Below are 20934 nucleotides of genomic sequence, written 5' to 3'. Positions count from 1 at the left end.
TTGACCCTTGAACTCGGGGGTTAGGGCTGATGACTGCTACGTAGTTGAAAAACCACGTGTGAGTTTTGGCTTCCCCAAAACTTAACTACTAATAGCCTAGTGCTGACTGGAAACATTACTGATAACATAAATGGTAGGTTAACACATAGTTTGTATGTTATATGTATTACATGCTGTATTTTTACAATTAAGTAACCTAGAGAAAATAAAGTTATTAAGAAAATAAGGAAGAGAAAATACACTCACTATTCATTAAGTGGAAGTGGATCATCATAAAAGTCTCCATTCTCATCATCTTCGCATTGAGAAGACTGAGAAGGAAGAAGAGGAGGAGTTAGTCTTGACATCTCAGGGATAGCAGAAGCAGAAGAAAATCTGAGCATAAATGGATATGTGAAGTTCAAACTTCTGTTGTTCAAGGGTCAACTGTACTTGGAAGACAGAAAGTAGACAGAGTTCTCTATCGACAAATTAGGCTGAAAATTAGTCTTAGAGAGTAGAGGCAGGAGCCCACCTGCTGGGCAGAGCCCAGGAGAGATTTTAAGTATGAAAAGAGACAGGATGGGAGAACGTGGTCCATATCCTCTCTCTAAAACCACCTCTCAAGCATCATGTGTGCCCAGGTAACACCTAAAACATAAGCAAAACAAAACAACTATAAATAACTCCTGGGGGTATTCTCTGAAGATGTGTTCAGGGGGACACAAGGAAATTGGAGATGGCTTTGAAATCTTAGCATAAAGCTGACTTATTTTCACATTCAAGGGTGCTCCAGCTCACTGGCTGGCTCATTTCCAATCATCACAGAGTGCACTCTGCCAGGTCACAGGCTAACCAACACATACAGAATTCCTATTCAGCTTCTCTGTCATTGTTTCTTAAACGTGAGCAATCAAGAAACCTAAGTCATTTAAGAACTTCTGTAATAGGAAAAGGAAAGTCCAAAGAAAAACAAATTGGCCCAGGAAAACAAGTCAAAGAACAGGAAGCAACAACAAAACTCACAAAACTTTAATTGGAAGGTGCATATGAATTGAACAATAAAAGAGAAAAAAAGAAAAATGACATGAAAAGATAAGCAATGTAGATTATCTATATAGGAGGTATAGTGTACAATTTATAATGATTCCCCTGAAAATGAGGAAAATACATTATTAAAGATGATACATGATAATTTCCAATGTTGGAGATCAGAAGAATTTAACTAAGATGGCACCAAAGGAAATTGAAAAGGACTTTGCAGAGGAGAAGGGCTGGGATGGATATCACCCATGCTATGCTTTTTTTCCTGGGATATTCCACCAGACCATGTTTGTGTTTCAGAGCCACACTGTTCTTCTCCCCTCAAGTCTATCTTCCTTTGTTGCCTGAATGCAGATGATCCATTCAGATACTGAGAAGTTTGGAATGGTTAAGGCATTTGAAGAAAATTTGGGTTCATGAATGACTGATGTGTGAATAGCAGTAGCTACCCACTATGAAGTCAGTAGGGGACATGCGCAAGAAATAAACTGTGGTTATGTTAAGCTGAGATTCTGGGTAATTTTTTTTTGGCAGATCATACACTCTGACTGAAATAGAAATTGGTACCTTGACTTGAGCTACTGCTGTAACAAAAACCTAAAATATGTGGTCTTGGCGTTGAAATGGGGTGTAGTAGCCAGCAAACAATTTTGCAGGGTAGACTGCAGGAAGTACATGTGACGCAACGAGAAAGCATTTCTAAGAGTAGAGCCTCTGTTGCCGTGAATCTAGAGGAAAGGTTGGAAAACAGCATTTGTACCTCTTAAGATCTATGAAAATAAAAAAATTTAAAGTGTATGCTGGTCCAGTAGACTGCATTTAACTACACTGTATAAGAAAAAAAAAAATGACCTCGAGAAAGAATTGGAGACACCACATGCAACAATGTTAGGAATAGAGAGATTCCATACAAAGTAGGGTTCTGAAGGGTTAGAAAAGCCTGGTTTCTTGAGCCAAATTGCAGAAAAAGAAAAAAAAAAAGAAAATAATCCAAATGACCAGTAGAATGAGTAAATAAATAAATGGTGGTATTCTCAAACCATGGGAAATTAAAGAGTACTAAGAAGACTCCCACTACTGCTAGGTACAGGCACAAAGTAGTCATCAGGGTAGGAATATTCTGGATGAAAATTAATAGAATAGAAGCTACATGTGATGAAATGGTTAGCGGTAGCCACATTTTTAAAATGTAAAAGGATACAGATCATACTTTCATTATATTTTATTTAACCTAACATGGAATAAATACAGAATTTATTGAGTTATTTTACATTCCTGGTACTAAGTCTTTCCAATCAGTTACGTATTTTACATTTACAATTCATCTGAATTCAGATGTTAATTTTTCAACAGAAGTTCTTGATCTGTACTTAGATTTTATAAATTTTATAGATAAAAAGTAAATTCACATGCTAAAGTTGTTTCAAGTATGCTTAAAAGTTATACAATAAATAAAAATAGCCAGTTTTGGTAACTGCATGGTAAATGCTAAACAACCACATGCATTGGACATCACATCTCTGCAGCTTGATGCAGGCAGTGGCTACATAAAAGGGCTCACTTTACAGAAATGCACCCTGTACACCTATAAGTTGTGCGTTTTCATGTACATACATGTTTTTCTTCAATTACATAAAGAACTTGCTGCTTTGGGCAGTAAACCAAGTGGAAAATGATGGAACAGGACCTCATGTTTTTTTAAATTGCTTCTGCTCTATTTGTTTCTTAAGACATACATACAAATTGACAGTCTCTTGATTATATTTAAAAAATTACTTCAAGCTTTTCAATTTTTTTGCTGTATTCCTGGTAACTAGATGAATTCAATTCATTAATTGAAGTTTGCTCTGAGAATCATACCTCTGCCTCCAAGCTAATTCACTCAACACAGCCAGTCAGGATGCAAAAAACCTTAACAAATTCAGTGGTTTCACCAGGATGTATATTTAGACTACTTGTGTAAAAGACTTTTGAGAAAATAATAGCTGCTATTTTTTAGTGTTTTAGTGTTTTTATCAAGAATAAATGTATTTAATCCTCCCAACAGTGGAATCAAGTAGTGACTAGAACAATCCCCATGGTCCATAGGAGGAAACTGAGGCAGAGAAAGGTGAAGGAATTGTCAGACATCTGGAAAGCGGTGTGCCGGGATTCAAACCCAAACACTGACCTGAATGAGCTTTTAAGTGATGTTGAGGCAGTTCATTAAACATTTCCTGGATCCCTTTATGGAACTGTAGCATTGTATTAGCACATAGGCTAAAATATTCATTGGTGCATAAACACATATCCATTTTCTGCAAATATTTCAGTACAGTGGATACAGAAGTTAAGTAAATAAAAATAAAATAATTCTGATTCCTTTCTGTGCTCTACCTTTGACTCTGGAAACAATACCAAAGAGACCTGATGGCGGTCAAACAACAGACACTCATTCGTCCCACCCTTGTCCTGAGCCATCCTGCACCTGTTTCCTCTCTCAGCCTGGATCTTTTCCCCACGTCATGCTAAGCAACTGGTGCTGTCACCCTGCACTGAGCTTGGCAGCTGCAAGATTTGCTAACACATGGCCAACGCCTTGACCTGGTCACTCCAGCACGTCTGGAAGCTCACATGTGCCTCCGCCGATGCTCCCACCTGTCTACTTCCCCACATCGTTGCTGGCTTTGATCCTGCTTGAAGTCAGCTTCATTCTGTTTCAGATTTTCTTGACCTTGCCTTCTTCCCGAGAAGGTGGCTAACCATTTTGTTGTTGAGCAGAAATTAATTGCATTAACTCTTTACATTTTCAGACTAATTCCTGGAAAAAATATCTTCCTCCTGTTCGTGCTCCCACAGGATGTATAAAAGCTAGATGTTCCAATTCATTCATTTTCCTAAGCTTCCCTGGGAATTATATTATCAGTGCTGTGAAAGGATCAGTTTACTCATCGTAATAACAATAATTAGACAACAAAAACAACAACTCAGGACTCAGAAACAGAGCCTTCTTCAATCGTTGGAATCTGGATTATCTAAATAATTTCCAACTAAGTTGTCATCTGATTGTTTCAGAGCAAAGAGGAATTGTCAGGCGTGTGGCTGACAAGCAGGTATAAGATATATGATGGGCTTATCATAGCTCATAAGCCTGCTTGCTTTTTCTTAAATGGGACATGTATAAACAATGTCTCAAGCACTCAGCAGTCACCACTATAATTGCCGTGTGGTCCAATCTTCTCCAAAATAAGATTCAAAGATTAATGATAGACCTCTGCTCAATTGATATCTTAAAATTGACAACCTTCTTTCCTGGAGTTTATGCTACATACACACGTTCCATGAATACTGTTGCTGGAATTGATAAGCCATGACAGGGAAAAAGCCAAGTTGGAGTGAAGATTGCTTTTTGGAGAGATTCAGATTGCCTGTGAAATGGTATTGTTAAAATTCTGTGAGGTATGATGGGGCCGCTGACGGTTAATTGTTCCATTGAGGAGTAAGAAACTGTTGGCTGACTCTGAAAAAATAAATTGGTCTTTATCAAGCACATTTCTTAAAAGATTCTTGGATCATGTGGACCTTCAAGGATTAGGTGAATAAACACTTCAAAAAAATACAGGAAATAAAAATTTGAAGCATCTAATCCAATGAAGATAGCTTGCCATATCCATCCAGAGAATAATTTCCTCACCTTAGAATGAGCATAATTATAATCAGCAAGTTCACATCTGTTTCTAAATTCTACATTTGAATTTATCACAAATATCTCCACTCTAATTTGGGAATATCATTTAAAAACACTTCTCCTATTTAAAAACAATTCAACTTGAGATGTTCCTGTATAATTGAATAAATGACTATTTCTACCATGGTTTGGAAATATTTCATTATTTAGATAATTTGTATTTAGCTACTCTGTATCTTGGGGGGAAATGTGTTCTGTATTGGTGTTTGTCCTCATAATATCATGCCATTAATTCTTTTTATCTCATTTCCTTAGGTCTCAAATTGTCATTTAGTCCATACTATTTTCTAATCTAACTGTAGGATTGTATTAGCACATAGCTAGTGAGCACACAGCTAGCAGCTATCACTCACAGTAGCCCATCTATAGGAGGGAGGTCTACAGCACTGGGTGTGAGTAATGAAGGCGCTAAACTGTGGCTTTCTGGGCTCAGCAGGCTTGCCATAGAGGCTGCGTGGGGAATTTCAGAATGAGGAAGACAGCAAGCACATTGTGCATTTAGCAGTATTCTTAACATCCCCATAATCCTGTGGGTCTCAACCTAGGCTACCAAAGAGAAGCCACTGAGCTTCTTTAAATAAACATTAATGCATTAATGCCTGGGTCTTATTCCCAAAGATTATGATTGAATTGTTCTTGAGTGTGGCCCTGGCATTGGCAATTTTACCTCCCCCGAGATGATTCCAGTGTGTAGCCAGGGAGGAAAGCCTTCCTATCACATCACCCCTCAGAGCTCACAGAGTTCTTTCTCACACCCTTACTCCTTCATTTGACCTTCACAGTGTCCTTGAGAAGTAGTCAGACAAATTATATTATCTTCCTTCTAACAGAGTAAGAAACTTCAGCAGAAAGGCTGGGTTGTGCAGTTAGTAGACATAAAGCGGGGACTGGGGTCAAGTCTCACGACTTAAGGTCATTATGTCTCACCAGGTCACTTTTGTCCTCATACGGGAGGGTGGACAGTGAGAGTGGCGACCTCTACCCAGACTTCATTATAGCTCAACCGTTGATTACCTATGAATGATGAGCTTTGTTTTTCACTGTAAGACCCATTTTTGTGATTTGTTTTTCTATTTCTTCATGTTTGTCATGTTTGTCATCATTATCCCAAAGTCCATTAAAGTTAGAGACAACACAAGAGAAGTCATGAGCTCTCAGTGAAAATTCTTGCCACTGTGCCATTCTATATTGCACCTTCACCTTAGCAGAATTCATTAACATCTCAGCAAAATAGCATTAGCAGGAATTAATTTAGGGAAAATATATGGGCACTCTGTAAAGAGTGTTATTGTTCTTAATTTTTTAAGTTGTTGAAATGCCTGCTAAGAATATACCTTCATAGTTATAAAAACAGTTTCTGAATAATGTGCTACAGAGGATGTCATTGTCACCTCCACTTAGAGGTTAAAAATAGTAATGCCAGTCCATTTGTGATTCTAAAATCACAGTCTTTTCATTTTAATGTGCTGCCATTCTGGAATGAAGGTGAGATTTCTGACCTACTGTTGGGAGGGTATGCCCTGGGAGTCTTTTGATAGTGTGGATGGATTTGTAGACCACCCCATGTACATTTCCTTCACCTCCATTGTCCTTTGTTAGTTTCCACTCCTTGTGAATTGATTTTCCAATTTTAACTTTTAATTTTATATTGTGAATCTACAAGAATCAATGGGTGATTTGGGGCAAGTACTTTGTCCTGGGTGAGCATTATTCCCTACACCTACAAAAGGTTAAAATGAGATTATGATGTGTGAGTGCCTAGCACAACTCCTGGACTCAGGACCCAGGCCAAATCGATAAGGCTGAATTTGAAGGATCATCACTTGTGTTGGCCATAAGTATTTTACTATTTAGTAAATGCAATTTATAAACCTAATGAAGATTTTCTCCTGTCTTGCAGATTTCGTATCTATCTCCAGCAGTTTATGGAATTAAGCTACATATATTTGGCTTTTTGCTGTCAATTCCTCTAGTGGTACTGTATTCAAACACATCATTTATATAATTCATTACGCTACGTTACCATACTCTGAGGATTTTTAGAAAGAAATTCCATGCTGCGTGAAAGGTCTAATGCTGTGGCCTTATTTCCATTTTTTAAAAAGAAAAAGAAAAGCTTTGCTATGGTAGTAATTAACAACTGGCATGCAGATGGCATTGATCAACGTTTACCCCCAGAACAGCTGTAGTTTCTGCAGTCTACAACCCAGTTGTCCCAGATGGTATTTTTAGCATCACGCTCTCTAAATACAGGAGGTGGTAGTCAAAATATAGTTAAAAGATGATACCATTATGGAGATTCTAATAATGGAATTGCTTTTCTTCTCTCTTCTTTAAAATTTTTTTTGTTTTTGGCAAATAACTAAATCCTAATGGAGTTGACAAATATATCTTTATGGTAAAGTCAATAAGTAGTCACTAAGATACACTTTTGAAAATTTAAATCACGAAAGTACTTTCAATAGTCTCATCTCTCTTTAAATTCTATAGTCTAAAATTAGGACCATGACTATTTCCAGCAAGAGAAGAAAGAAATGACTATAAAATTAGTATCACTTAACAAGAAAGTATTTTTTGAGTGCTTTCTAGGTCCTTTTTCCCTGTTAAAAAAAAAAAAAAAGCCACTTTTCCATCTAGTTGGTAATCTAGTCTGTAATGAATAAAACAATTAAGAACAAAATAAAATTATCAATTGTGGGGAAAATAAGGAAAATAAAAGTTAGAGAAAAAGAAGCACCTGCAGCCTGGATTCAGCAGTGAAAAATCTGAAGTGCTGAAAAACATTACATTATGTTTCAAAGACTGATTGCTAGAAACATGGACACAGAGACAGAGAAACAATTTATGTAAATATATATGAATGAATTAATACATAGAGAAAAAGACACTCAAATAATATTTTATCCAGATTCTTAATGGCCGAGTCTTAAAATCATTATTCCACCAAAGACTAATGTCATCATAGCATTAACCTCTCAATATAGGAATAAATCTAATACATCAACTTTTTAAAGTATAAACATTTTACTCTTAACATTTTGAGTGGCTTCATTTTAAAGGTTTTACATGGAACCACAGGAATAATCCCTTCTGCACACTTAGCTATTGGATGTCTGCTACAATCAGTGTACTGCACCTTTGCGATATCCGAGTACCCTATTTCTCTCCAATACGCTTTCCATGATTTTTAATCTACGTATTTTTCATTGATAATCACTGATGTTATTTATGTGGTATTGGATATATTCTTTATTTTAAATTTTGAAGACACCAAGTGGATATTCTACTTTTACTTCACTTTTACAAGATGTCAAGAATGCCCAAATAGGATTTTTATTTAGAAAAATTAAAGGTCAAGTCAGCATTTAATTAAGAATTTTAAAAAATACAGCTTTTAAAATTTATGTTGTTTTATGTTATAAATACCATTTATATTTCTTCAAAGTTTGGATTTGTGATATTATCTAATCTTTATTATCCTGCCTTAAATATTATTTAAGTTTTAATTTAAATAATTTTTGATTTATATCCACTTATAAATTACACAACGATCATTCCAGCAATATCTACCTAATGCACTTGCAGTTACTTTTGCTATCACTTTTCAATCTCTATGTGTATTTGTTAGTTACATGAAAGTTCCTAATTATTTTATACATAAATTACCATCATCACAAATTATCGCATTTGACTTTTGCAATAATAAATACAGTGTATAATTATATTTCAACTACAAAATCTCAATATATGAAATACATAAGGAGATGCTCACGTCGAGTTACAGCCAAAATACCTTATTTGATATGAATATTGATAATGCATTTTAAGATGTTAATAATATTTTGAGATCTATAAGAAAAATGCTTAAGATATAAGATATTAACAATAATTCTAAGTAATATGCTACAATGGTAAATAATTTTAAGAATCAAATGTATGTCCTTACAATCATTGATTATTGATAATTTCAAGATGCCAGGTATAATACTGATGAATAGTCAATTTTAGTTTAATACATATATGTCTAAAAAATATATATACATACACAAAAAGTGTTCAAAAGGCTCATGAAAAATGTGTATGATGAAAAAAATATGCATGGATTTCAAAACTTTTTTGTACTAAAATAAAACTTGCACTACTTTGTTATATGTCTGAACAGGATCTAGTTTGAAGTACTAAGAAGAAAGCACTTTGAAAAGATCCTCTATCAGAGGAACATAACTTCTGCTCAAATTGAAGCAAGGACAAATGTCAAATTTATGAGGAAGCTTCTGGAAAAATGGTGCTATCACTGATGCTTTATGAAAAGTTTATGGGGACAATGTCCCAAAGAAATCAGCAGTTTATACATGGACAACTCATTTTAATAAGGGACAAGATGATATTGAAGACGAAGCCTGCATGGGCAGGCCATTCACATCAATTTGCAAAGAAAAAATGTTATTGTTTTACCCAAATTGAAGAGGACTGACGATTAGCAGCAGAAACACAAGCCAATGCCACCGACATCTCACCTGGTTCAGCTTTCACAATTCTTTCTGAAAAATTAAAGTTGAGAAAATTTTCCACCTAATGACCAAAATTTTTGCATCCAGATCAGCGGCAGACAAGAACAGAGCTTTCAATGGAAATTTTAAACAAGGGGGATCAAGATCCTGAAGAATTTCTTTGAAGAATTGTAACAGAAGATGAAACATGCTTTACCAGTATGATCCTGAAGGCAAAGCATAATCAAAGCAATGGCTACTGAGAGGTGAAAGTGGGCCAGTCAAAGCAAAAGCAGACAGGTCAAGAGCAAAGGTCACGTCAATAGCTTCTTGGGGATGCTCAAGGCATTTTCCTTGTTGACTTTCTTCAGGGCCAAAGAATGATAACTTCTGCTTATTCTGAGACTGTTTTGAGAAATTTAGCCAAAATTCTGTCAATGCCTATAATTTTAAAATTTTAAATATATATTCAATATTAATTTAATATTTTAATATACATAAATATATACTTAATTTTATAACAATATTTGTATCAGCAGAATTACTAATGACTAAACACCTCATTTTTGCCTACTTCAACCCTTCTCCTCTTTACACACTAAAGACTTGGATTTTATGGTTCTTTAATATTTAGACTCAAGTTTGAACTTTAACGAAGTCAGGTGATTCATTGTGAGCATTGAATGGAAGCTGCTCCCAAAAGTGGGACTGGAATTCCTCTGACATCTAGTAAACACCACAGACCTAATAGGAACCTCAAACGTTGACCAAGCCTCTGCTCCAGTCCTGCCCCTCTGCCTGTTCCCACGGGGCTTTAAAAAAAAAAATTATTACTAATTCTCTAGTCACTCAGTATCATATCTTTAATTATTACCTGTTTGTTGACAAGTTTCATATTTATATCTGAAGCTCAGATTTTTCCCCAAACTCCAGAAAATATATATCCACCTGTCCACTGATCCCCACATTTGGAATCATACTAGCACCAAAAACTTACGCCCTAAAGCAAATTTACATATCCCTACCCACATGATCTCATCTCACAATCTTCCCAAACTCAAGTAACAGCAACTCTATTTTCCTGAGTCTTCTCTTCCTCTCACCTCCTTATTCCTTACAGCAGCACATCATCCTGTGTTTTCTTATTATCTTCATGGTCAACTCCTTTATCAAAGCCACCATGAGCTCTCCCCTTAGGTATTGCTCTAACTTTCTGCCCGATTCTACCATGGCTTCTCTGTAGTATATTCTCAACACAGCAGTCAGGATGAACCTGTTAAAGCATACATCATACCTTATCCCTCCTATGTGAAAAACTCCACAAGAGACTCCCATGTCAGAGTAAAAGCCAGGCTCTACAAGGCTCCCTATTGCCTGACCTCTTTACTTTTCAGCCTCCTCCTCGTTTTCTGCACTCCAGGTGCACTGGCCTCTCTCTAGCTCTCCAGACATGCCGGCCACCCACACCCCAATGCTCTTCTACTTCCTGCTTCCTTTCTGCCCTCATTCCTTTTAGCTGCATGCATAGCTCCCTCGTTTCCTTCAGTTTTCACCCAAAAGTCACCCTCTGTGTGATGTTTTCTCTGGCCATGCTACCTCAATGTCAACACCCACTCCTCTCCCCAGCTCTGACGTTTCATATGCCTGCTCCATTTTAAACATTTCCTCCTAAGTGCTTGCCACTATTGCGTGTGCTGTGTGTTTTGTTTATTATCTATCCCTTCCATTGAAATGTAAGCTCCCTGAGCAGAGATTTTTGTATGTTTTGTTCCTTACTGCATCTCCCAAAACTAGAACAGGACCCAGAACATAATAGCCCACCAATTAAAATCTGCTTCACAATTCTGCACAGTGCTTCAAGGATGAGTCTTCAAAGATTGCGATCTGGGCAGCAAGGCATAAGATTATGGTTTTGCACATGCAACACTAAAAGAGCATATCAAGGAAGTAAATTCAATTAAATAAATGAACAAAGAAACAAAGTTGATTTTCATATTGAAATCAATGCATGGATCAGCTAACTTAGCCTATGGAGACATAAACTAAATGCCCCTTTGCATGTCTGAGTCATGATCTGTTTATATATCAAAAGCATATGCAGCAAAGTAGTGCATGGATCAATGTTCTTATAAATGAAGTTCCCTTAAATATCATTTGTTGGTCAGAAACAGAAATACCAGCTTCTCCGACATGGATATTGGACATGTGAATGTACGGTGACAGCTCTGATGGCTAACATAGCATTCTTATAAAATGAAAAAGCACAATACAGTTCCTCACTACTGAGAGCCCTAGGCTGCAACCATTCCTCAGATTGAAGAAAATGTTTGGTGATCTCGTGAGTACCACACTGCCTGTTGTTCAGAAGATGGGTTAAATACTAACAAGGGGTCATCGCCCTCCTTGGATGGCTATTACCATCTGCATGACCCCTTCTCTGGTTTCATCTGTAGAAAAGGTAAAAATAAAAATAAAAATAATGTAAATGTGTCGGGGAGCCAAACAGTACTGCAGGAATTACGCCCTAGTTGCTGGCCATGCACGGTAAAGAGGTAGATTAATATTTAACTAATATCTACCCAGTTTCCCCCTGCAGAGATGGACTCCAGCAACCTTGAAGACTGACAGTTTATTGAAAAGAGGCCCCACATCTTCCCCATCTTTGAATATTGTGAGTCTGACATTTGTCTTGCATGTACTCAAAAAAAATGATCATTGATGGAGTGAGATATGTAAAGCTTTTAGAACAAACTACTGTGTGTCAATTTTCTATTTAATATTTTAAATAGAAGCTGATGGGTCCCCAAAATAAACCCATTAGAACAAAGCAAGTGAACAGACCTCACCAGTATATCTGTCAGCCTTACTTACAATTTTTCATACAAGAGCTATACCGTTAGTTATTCTGTCAATATTATATTGATGAAGAGGAAAGCTAAATTCATCTTCCTGTCTTTCTTTCTGTGCAGGCTTCCACTCAGTGATTCTTCAATTACCTAGTTCAATGACAGGACATTTTTTACTACCCTATTTTCTGTACATCAAGTTTCAAAATATTTCAGGTACTTCCAACAATTTGTCTTCATTGACATTACATAGTTTTGACCATTTGTGTATATCACTTTGGACATAAGTGCCTTCCTCAGCTGAGAGACCTCTGAGAGTCTCCAGTGAGAAGTTAAAGGCTGTATTTTGACTTTAAATGTAATGGCCATCAGAGGATTAGCTCAGAAAAAGGAACTCTTGGCAAAGACTTTGAGTTATATTTCCAGTGTAACAAATTCCAGAAATGAATGACATTCTTTTTTCTATGGTGGTCATAGAATTCCAGATTCTTTGAAACAAAATAGAAGATAATTCGAGCTCTCAAATAAAGAATTATATTTCCCGCAGGCAAGGGGATGAATTGTGATAGTCGGGTAATACATTGTCTTCTGGCAAAGCCATACCAAACTCTCTAGAGAAAAAATTGCACAATTTCCCTCAGCAAACAGTCACAATCCACATCTGTTACTTTCAGGGAAAATAGAACTTGAACACCACATTCTCTGTGACTCTCTTCTTGTTCTGTCATCTTTAACAGTGAAAGCAGCCAGCTTCTGCTCTTTAGTATTGAAGGTCATTCTTTATTTTTGCTCCAACTTTAGCTTCTCCAGCTTAGATAATTCATAGTGATGCTTGGATTTATAGCAAACCAAATGGATTAAAAAAATATTATTAACATGATGAGAATAAAAATGGCAATGTTAAGTATTCCCAACATTCAAAGCTTTCTATCAAAATGGTTATTTAGTGATTTATTTTCCATTATTTTCTCATGAAGTTTGTATGTTTTCATTTCAAAATTTTTAATTGTCTGAACTTCTTTGTGTGCTGGTCTTGTTCTTTCCATTCCAAACACTTCTTCCCTTTTTTTTTCATGCCTAACTTTGCCCATGAATGCTAGCCAAAACTTATATTTTCAGAGCGCATTTTAAAGAAACAGCCATGAATTTACTGAGATTTGAGAGTATTCCAAGAAGATCCTAAAACACAAAATTATTTTTTTCTTTGTTTAACATAATAGTAAAATTACACTATGAGATATGTATCCTTTGGGTTAAACACTATCCTCACTACAGGAGTTTTATTTAAAATTTAAAGCGTAAACTTTTATGGGTCTAAAGCACTAGAGATGTGAGGGGGATAGTGTGATAGACAGGAAGGAGATATGGCTTATTTGCTGGTTATTATTCTCTAGATATGTTTACATCTATTTTTACTTAATATCTGGAACATGAGTACACTGAGCTTTAGAAAACTTATATAACTTGTCCTAAATAACATCTAGTGACTATCAGATTCTGAACCTGGTCAGTAAGAGTATAAGGAAACGATAAAAAACCAGCTTCATCCTCTTTAAATTCAGTGCTCACATTAAAATGATGGGTTGCATTATCCAATTAAATTAAGATTATAGGCACAGAGGCTGGGCACAGTGGCTCATACCTGTAATCCCAGTACTTTGGGAAGCTGTGGCAGGTGGATCACCTGAGGTCAGGAGTTTGAGACCAGCCTGCCCAACATGGTGAAACCCCATCCCTACTAAAAATACAAAAATCAGCTGGGCATGGTGGGGCATGCCTGTAATCCCAGCTACTCGGGAGGCTGAGGCAGGAGAATTGCTTGAACTCCGGAGGTAGAGGCTGCAGTGAGCCGAAATCGCGCCACTGCACTCCAGCCTGAGTGACGGAGCAAGACTCTGTCTCAGAAAAAAAAAAGAAAAAGAAAAGAAAAGAAAAGAAAAGAAAAGAAAGAAAAGATTATAGGCACAAAGACAAACTGTAGTAAAGGCAAAATACATTGCCAAAATATCCCAAAACATCCTTCACTTCTCTCTATTCAAATTAGTTGTTTGGCCCTATTCAGGAAGAAATACAGTGTGGGGAGGCTGCAGTTCCTCTGAATCATATACACTTGAGTTAAATTACATATTTTTCACTTCCTAGTTGTGTGACTTTGGGAAAATTATTTAATCTTGCTGAAATCGCAGAGCCCTAGTTGATAAAATAAGGATTGTTCTGAAAATAAAATGATTTTGAGAATGAAGAATAAAATGAGAATAAATATTCCTCTTGGAATACCTGGCACTAAATATTTACCACATAAACTAATGTAAGAATAATATACAATCATAACAATAGAAACCATAATAACAGACAGCCTCAGGAAAAAAAAAAAAAAAAGCAAGGCACTGCTTCCTGGACCTTCCAAGTCAATGGAGAGCTTGTAAAACGTAAAACAGAAATCCTCATGTAACGTGAAGACATTTATATTCACTCTTGCATTCAGGCTTATCTATGTTTTGTGTTTCAATAAAGACATGTTGCATTACACAGTTTCATTAGACTTTACAGCTAATCTAGCGTGTGTTTTTAAGAAGATTTACTCCCCAGTCATCCTTGTCGAACAGCGGTACGTCTGCTGTGGCCCAAGTGAGCTCCACCTGCTGCATTAGGCAAGCAGCAGCTGAGGGACACGGCACACCCGGAAACGCAGCCCCTCCCCTGGTGCCGCTCCCTGTTGACTACTCCATCAACTTGGGAACACTCTGGGTTGCATTTTGAGCTACAGATCTCCAGTTTCCCTTGAGTGAGTATTAAACTGCAGAGCTGATGACCGTGAACCAGATTACCATAAAGAGGATGGAAGGTCCACATGATGAACACTGGTGCCAGGAGCTGAGAAAGAGGAGGACGATGGTGTGAGAGAAAAACGACAGATAGCTAAACAAACAGCACATTTTGCCTACTATAACTGTACAGCAAGAGAGGAAAGAACATGAGGCCGGGAACGTATTAATATCTGCAACGCACATGGTGGGCATGAGTGGCTCTGGGCAGATGATCAAGCAGGCCATGCCTGACCTCAAGTTTTGCCTCCTCAAGAATCAGAGCTCTTCACAGGTTCTTAGAACCCTCTGTCTTTCCATGCCTTGCTTCCCCAAGCTCTCTCGTCCTAGCTACCTTCAGCACTTTTACTTTTCTCCCCTTCAACAAAGTCTTTGTATTTCTGCCAACTTTTTCCTAAAACATATAGACAATTGTCATCCTTCAGCCAAATAGAAAAAAAGTGGCTCCCCGTTTTCCCCATAAGGTTGAATTTACACTCCTTATGTGACATGCAAAGATGTTCACAGTCAAAAAGCCACCTCACTCACCAGCCTATCCCCTAGCACTCTGTTCTTGCCAACCACCCAGACACGTGGGACCACTGATGGGATGCTTCACTCCTGCCTGAGATTTTAAATATTCCCCTTTATGTAGAAAGTCATTGTGCCAGCACCACTTTTTAAATAAGCTACCCTTGCCGGGTGCGGTGGCTCATGCCTGTATTCCCAGCATTTTGGGAGGCCGAGGCAGGTGGATCACTTTAGGTCAGGAGTTCGAGACCAGCCTGGCCAACATGGTGAAACCCCGACTCTACTAAAAATACAAAAAAATTAGCCAGTCGTGGTGGCACATGCCTGTAATCCCATCTATTCGGGAGGCTGGGGCAGGAGAATTGCTTGAACCCAGGAGGTGGAGGTTGCAGTGAGCTGAGATCTCACCACTTCACTCCAGCCTAGGTGACAGAGACTCCGTCTAAAAAAAAAAAAATTAAGCTACCTTTTGCCACTGAACTAGAATACAGTTTTTTGTCTAATATTTTATCTCATGTATACTGGGCTTTGGTCCTTGCTTCTATTTGGTTAAAACTATTTGGTGTACTACTTGGTTAAACTAATCTATTTATCTATCCCAATGCCGTATTAAGTTGACTCCAGTGGCTTTGCAGTATTTGCTGACATCTGTTAAATATGTTTTAAAAAGCATTGTCATGGCTATTCCCAAAGTTTTGAATTTTCATATGCATTTTAAGATCATTTTATTCAGTTCTAAATTGGGTACACTCTGCTGGATTTTAATTGTAATTTCATTAAATTTTTATATGAATATTGAGGGAATTGACTGCTAAGGTATAAATAACACTCTGAATCTTGACTGGCTTTTTGAAAATGTCAGATACATTTTCATTTCTTTATTAAAAGCCTTATTAATACGTTTGCCAAAAGGACATGACAAATCATAGCCATTCTGGACATCCTAAGGGCGTTTGCCTTTTTATAGCTTTTTGAGAACAAGAAAAGAATGATAAATGTTAAAAAGAAATAGTGGTGGGGAATTTCTTGGTGGCTGACAATCACTTAACTATTATCACTTTACACATCCTCCAAAACACTGTATAGGTCACCAGCGAAAACAAATAAAACCACACTAATACTATGCCTTCAGAAAAATGACATAATAGAAAACACAGCAAGTTCAACAATAGTAATATGTCAGAGCTGAAACCAATCATATCCACCATATCCACATTTTCAACTCGGCTCACAAGGCAAGAGCCAACCACACGCTACACGCAAGAGACACACCCAAAACAAAGTGACTCAGAAAGACTAAAGGGTCTACAAAATGCACAAGGCAAATAGAATCAATGAGAAAATCGGGATGGTGGTCCTGACAGCACCCAGAAGAGAATTTGAGTAAAAACATTCAGTGGGACAAATTAAACACCATTTAATCATTTTAAATATTTCACATTAATATATAGAAGGTATTCATACTTATGCACCAAGTAACACATCAACTTGTTCATAAAGTGGAAACTATGAGAGATGAATGATAGACAGAAACATATTCTCGGTGTGAGAGATATCAGATGGACAAAAAATACGGAAGGGTATTAAAGAGCCCCAAGTACAAGCCTAGACAGTTTCCCCTTAACCACACACACACACACACACACACACACACAGAGAGAGAGAGAGAGAGAGAGAGAGAGAGACATATACACCCATATAAACTATGAGCAGAAAGTAACAAAGTGTTAAAAAAGAAAAGAAAAGAAAGTGTCAGGGTAATAGGACATGTCAGAAGAGTACAGGAGCCAGCTGAAAGTATCAACAAAGGCCAAAGCTGAAACACTTTGAGCATTAAGTAATGTCGGATTATAACCCAAATATAAACATCCACGGATTCAAAAGATATAAATGGTTGAATAAATTAATAAATATGAGAGAAGAGACAAATCTCTCATACAGTAAAATTTCCCATAATTTATGTAGATACCCGCCCCCAACCCCTGCAAAGAGGTGAAGCCTAACTTCGCATTCCTTGGTGTGGGCTGCACTTAGTGACTTCCTTCCTGGTGCTCAAGGCCAACATTAAGGGTTAAAAATCATGTTGATAATATCTCCACTGCATAGGATGTGATAACAATGCGACTTTTACTCTGTGGTCTTCCCCCCAGTAACTCCTCATCCCACTCTTCTCATGAGAAAAACATCAGACAAATCCCAATAGCAGGCATCCTGCAAAATCCCTGAGCAGTACTCCTCAAAACTATCAAAGTCATTGCACACAAGGAGCAAGGAACATCTGAGAAACTGGCACAGCCACAAGGAGCCTAAAGGGACAGACACCCAGATGCCATGTGGTATCCTGAATGGGATCCTGGAACAGAAAAAGGATAACAGGTAAAAACCAAGGAAACCCGAGTAAAAGATGAAATATGGTTCATAATCCATCATTCTGAGCAAACTATCACAAGGACAGAAAACCAAACACTGCATGTTCTCACTCATAGTTGGGAACTGAACAATGAGAACACTTGGACACAGGGCGGGGAACATCACACACCGGGGCCTGTCGGGGGATGGGGGACTGGGGGAGGGATAGCATTAGGAGAAATACCTAAAGTAAATGACGAGTTGATGGGTGCAGCACACCAACATGGCATGTGTACACCTATGTAACAAACCTGCACGTTGTGCACATGTACCCTAGAACTTAAAGTATAATAATAAAAAAAAGAAATATGGTTCATAATAATATATCAACATTGCTTTAGTATTTGTAACATATGGTACAGAGTATATAAAAACTATATTATTTTCTCTTTTTTTCTGTAAATGTAAAACTCTTCTGAAAAACAAATTGTACTATAAAGAAAAAAAAGAAAGCATGGTGACTTCGAGCTACTGAAGGGTTCAGATTCTAATGCAGTGTTTCCCAGTTCCTACTAAGATATTTTCCCGGATTTGTTGCTGGCAAAATATGCCCAGGTTTTTTGTTTGAAAAGGAGTTTTTGGTCTGTGAGAGATAAGACAGGAGGTCCATTTGCAAACAGTTCCTTAAAGCAGGTAACTGTTCACTTCCTTAGGAAGGCTGGCCTCACGTGAGGTCCTGTCCTAAATAAACATTTTGTTATTGTTGGTGTGTATGAATTCATTATTACTGACAGCCAGGGAGTCATTTGGTGATTAAAAAACAACAGGATGGAAGGTCATTTTTATTGGCATTATGTACTTAATCATGCAGTCAATGGCTTTTATAGTTAAGCAGTAAAATAAAGCGCCATCAATTGAACAGAATATACAGAATGCTCCAATTGACAAAATCGACACATTTTCATGCTACTGCTGCCTTTTCTCTCTTCTTCCTTTTGCAGGTAAACTTACTGAATGAAGTGAAATCTGCTCAACACCCCCACTATCTTATCTTCCGCATTTATTGATCTCCAGCAATCAGCCTTGTGCTCCTGCAGGATTGAAGCTGCCCCCACGAAGGTCAACCACACCGAGGCTGCTCTCTCCCTCTGAGTTACACGCCTCCCTTTCACACTTCTTTCTGAGTCACCGGGTCTGCCGCACCTGCACAAGGGCCATCCTTCCTGTCAGCTCTGCCTGCTCAGCATCTGCACAGCCCATTCGCTTCTCCCCTCTCTCTCCATGACTGCCAAAGTTCAAGCCCTCTTAACTAATTTTCTTTTCCTCTCTCACTCCGACAAACCATCTATGGCAGTGATTCCAATGTAATCTTAAAAGTAAATGTATACCTATGTAACAAACCTGCACGTTGTGCACATGTACCCTAAAACTTAAAGTATAATTTAAAAAAGTAAAAGTAATAATATCACTTTATCATTCACAATAAATCCCTTATTTAATTCCCATTGCCTCCCAGTAAGGTTGAACTCCTTAACATATCATATGAGGACATAATGAATAAACACCTTTTCCAGGCAGATTTAAGCCCTCTTATTACTTATGTCCCCGCTTCCCCATCCCAACACTTAATCTTTTGTAAAGTTTCACCACACTGTCTGTACATTTCTTTTTGTACAGGAATATAGAAATACCAGAATTGAGGTGATCAAGGATATGTTAGAAGTTTTAACCTCAAAATTGTTGAAAGAATGGTTGGTTGAATTAATTTAAAAACCTTGAAAACTTTTAGAATTACAGATATTAGATAAGAACCACCTCAGTGTCTTGAGAATAATACACTGCCTACCACTCACTGGGATAAAATATAAAACGTAAGACTCCCGACCTTAGGAGAGCTCAACAGTCTCAGCGGACAGGCTGATACATAAACAACTAAATTCACACCAAAGGCATGAAGTAAATCACAGCAATAACACAAAGATCCAACATTTATGGAGCACTTAGGATGGACCACACTGAAAATTATTCCACATATTTCATGTCATTCAGTCCTCACAATTATTGAAGATATATACTGTTAGTAGTCCCATTTTACAGATACGGTGGTACACCTAGCTTAAGTGAGTCTCCCAAGTCATGCAGCTGGTAAATTAAGGATCTGGGTTTGATCCCGTTTGGCTGATTACAAAGCCTGCCCATGGAACTGGAGGATATGAAGCATACTTTTGAAACCGACTTCACAGTTATACTTTGTAAATACTGCCAAAGGGTCACATAGTGAGAAAGGGAACACAGAGTTTTTCGTAGATGTAAAATGTTTACTAAGTTTCATTAGCTGTATTTATGAGTAACGGAGGCTGCGGTGGATTTCCTATTTCCATCACAGGAATACTTCTGCCCACTTCTATATTCTCCCTTGTATTTACAGGGGCTGAAACCCTGAAACCTACATTTTCCGGTTGCCAGCAGGATTTTAACTTAGACTGCACCACCAGGAGGCACCCACTCAGGCATCAGAATCAGGAAGAGGAGTGGCAGCCTCTATGCTTCCATCAGGAGCAGGCAGATGTGTGAGCTTCCACAGCCGGTGGATATGGAGTGCGGGAAGCTGCCGCTTCCAAGGAGGTTCCTGCAGATCACCTGCGTTGGTCCGCAGGTCGCTGAGATCATCAGCCAGCCATGTGTTCCTGCGATTCTTGACTTCCTGAAACCAGCAGCCATTTTCCTTTCTGTTTACTTTCCCAGGCATTCTGACAGTTTTCTAACCTCCATTTCATGTGTTAAATCTTCTCAACTTGAAGCACTTAGAATGATTCCTGAAAAATGCTTATTGATACTCAGGCCCTGTATTACTTTTCTAGGGCTGCCATAAGAAAGTATGGACTGGGCTGCTTAAACTACAGAGATGTATTATATCAGAGTTCTTGAGGCTAGAAATCCAAGATTGAGGTGTCAAGGTGGTTCCTTTTGAGGGCTGTGTGGGAAGGCTCTGTCTCAGGCCTTTCTTCTTGGCTTGTAGAGAGCTGTTTCCATGTTTACCTGGCATTCTCCCAGTGTGTGCACCTGTGTCCAAATTCTCCTTCTATAAAGAACCAGTCTTTTTGGATTGGGGCTTACACTAACGACCTCACATTAACTTGGTTACTTCAGTAAAGACCCCATCT

The 20934-nt window shown here is 37.8% G+C and overlaps 1 long non-coding RNA gene across 1 annotated transcript in view; it reads right to left on the bottom strand.

Annotated features, from left to right (window-relative positions):
* Nucleotides 1-248: 248 nt before the first annotated feature.
* LOC105370355 (uncharacterized) overlaps nt 249-20934 on the bottom strand; it is a 37253-nt gene continuing 16567 nt past the window's right edge. Inside the window, exon 3 of the long non-coding RNA XR_007063863.1 lies at nt 249-311. This is a non-coding gene — a long non-coding RNA (uncharacterized LOC105370355). The remainder of the gene's footprint in view (nt 312-20934) is intronic.

The sequence above is a fragment of the Homo sapiens genome, chromosome 13 (assembly GCF_000001405.40).
Source record: "Homo sapiens chromosome 13, GRCh38.p14 Primary Assembly".
Classification (NCBI taxonomy): domain Eukaryota; kingdom Metazoa; phylum Chordata; class Mammalia; order Primates; family Hominidae; genus Homo; species Homo sapiens.
Note: the sequence above shows the minus strand (reverse complement) of the source record. Positions and strands in the feature narration are given on the sequence as shown.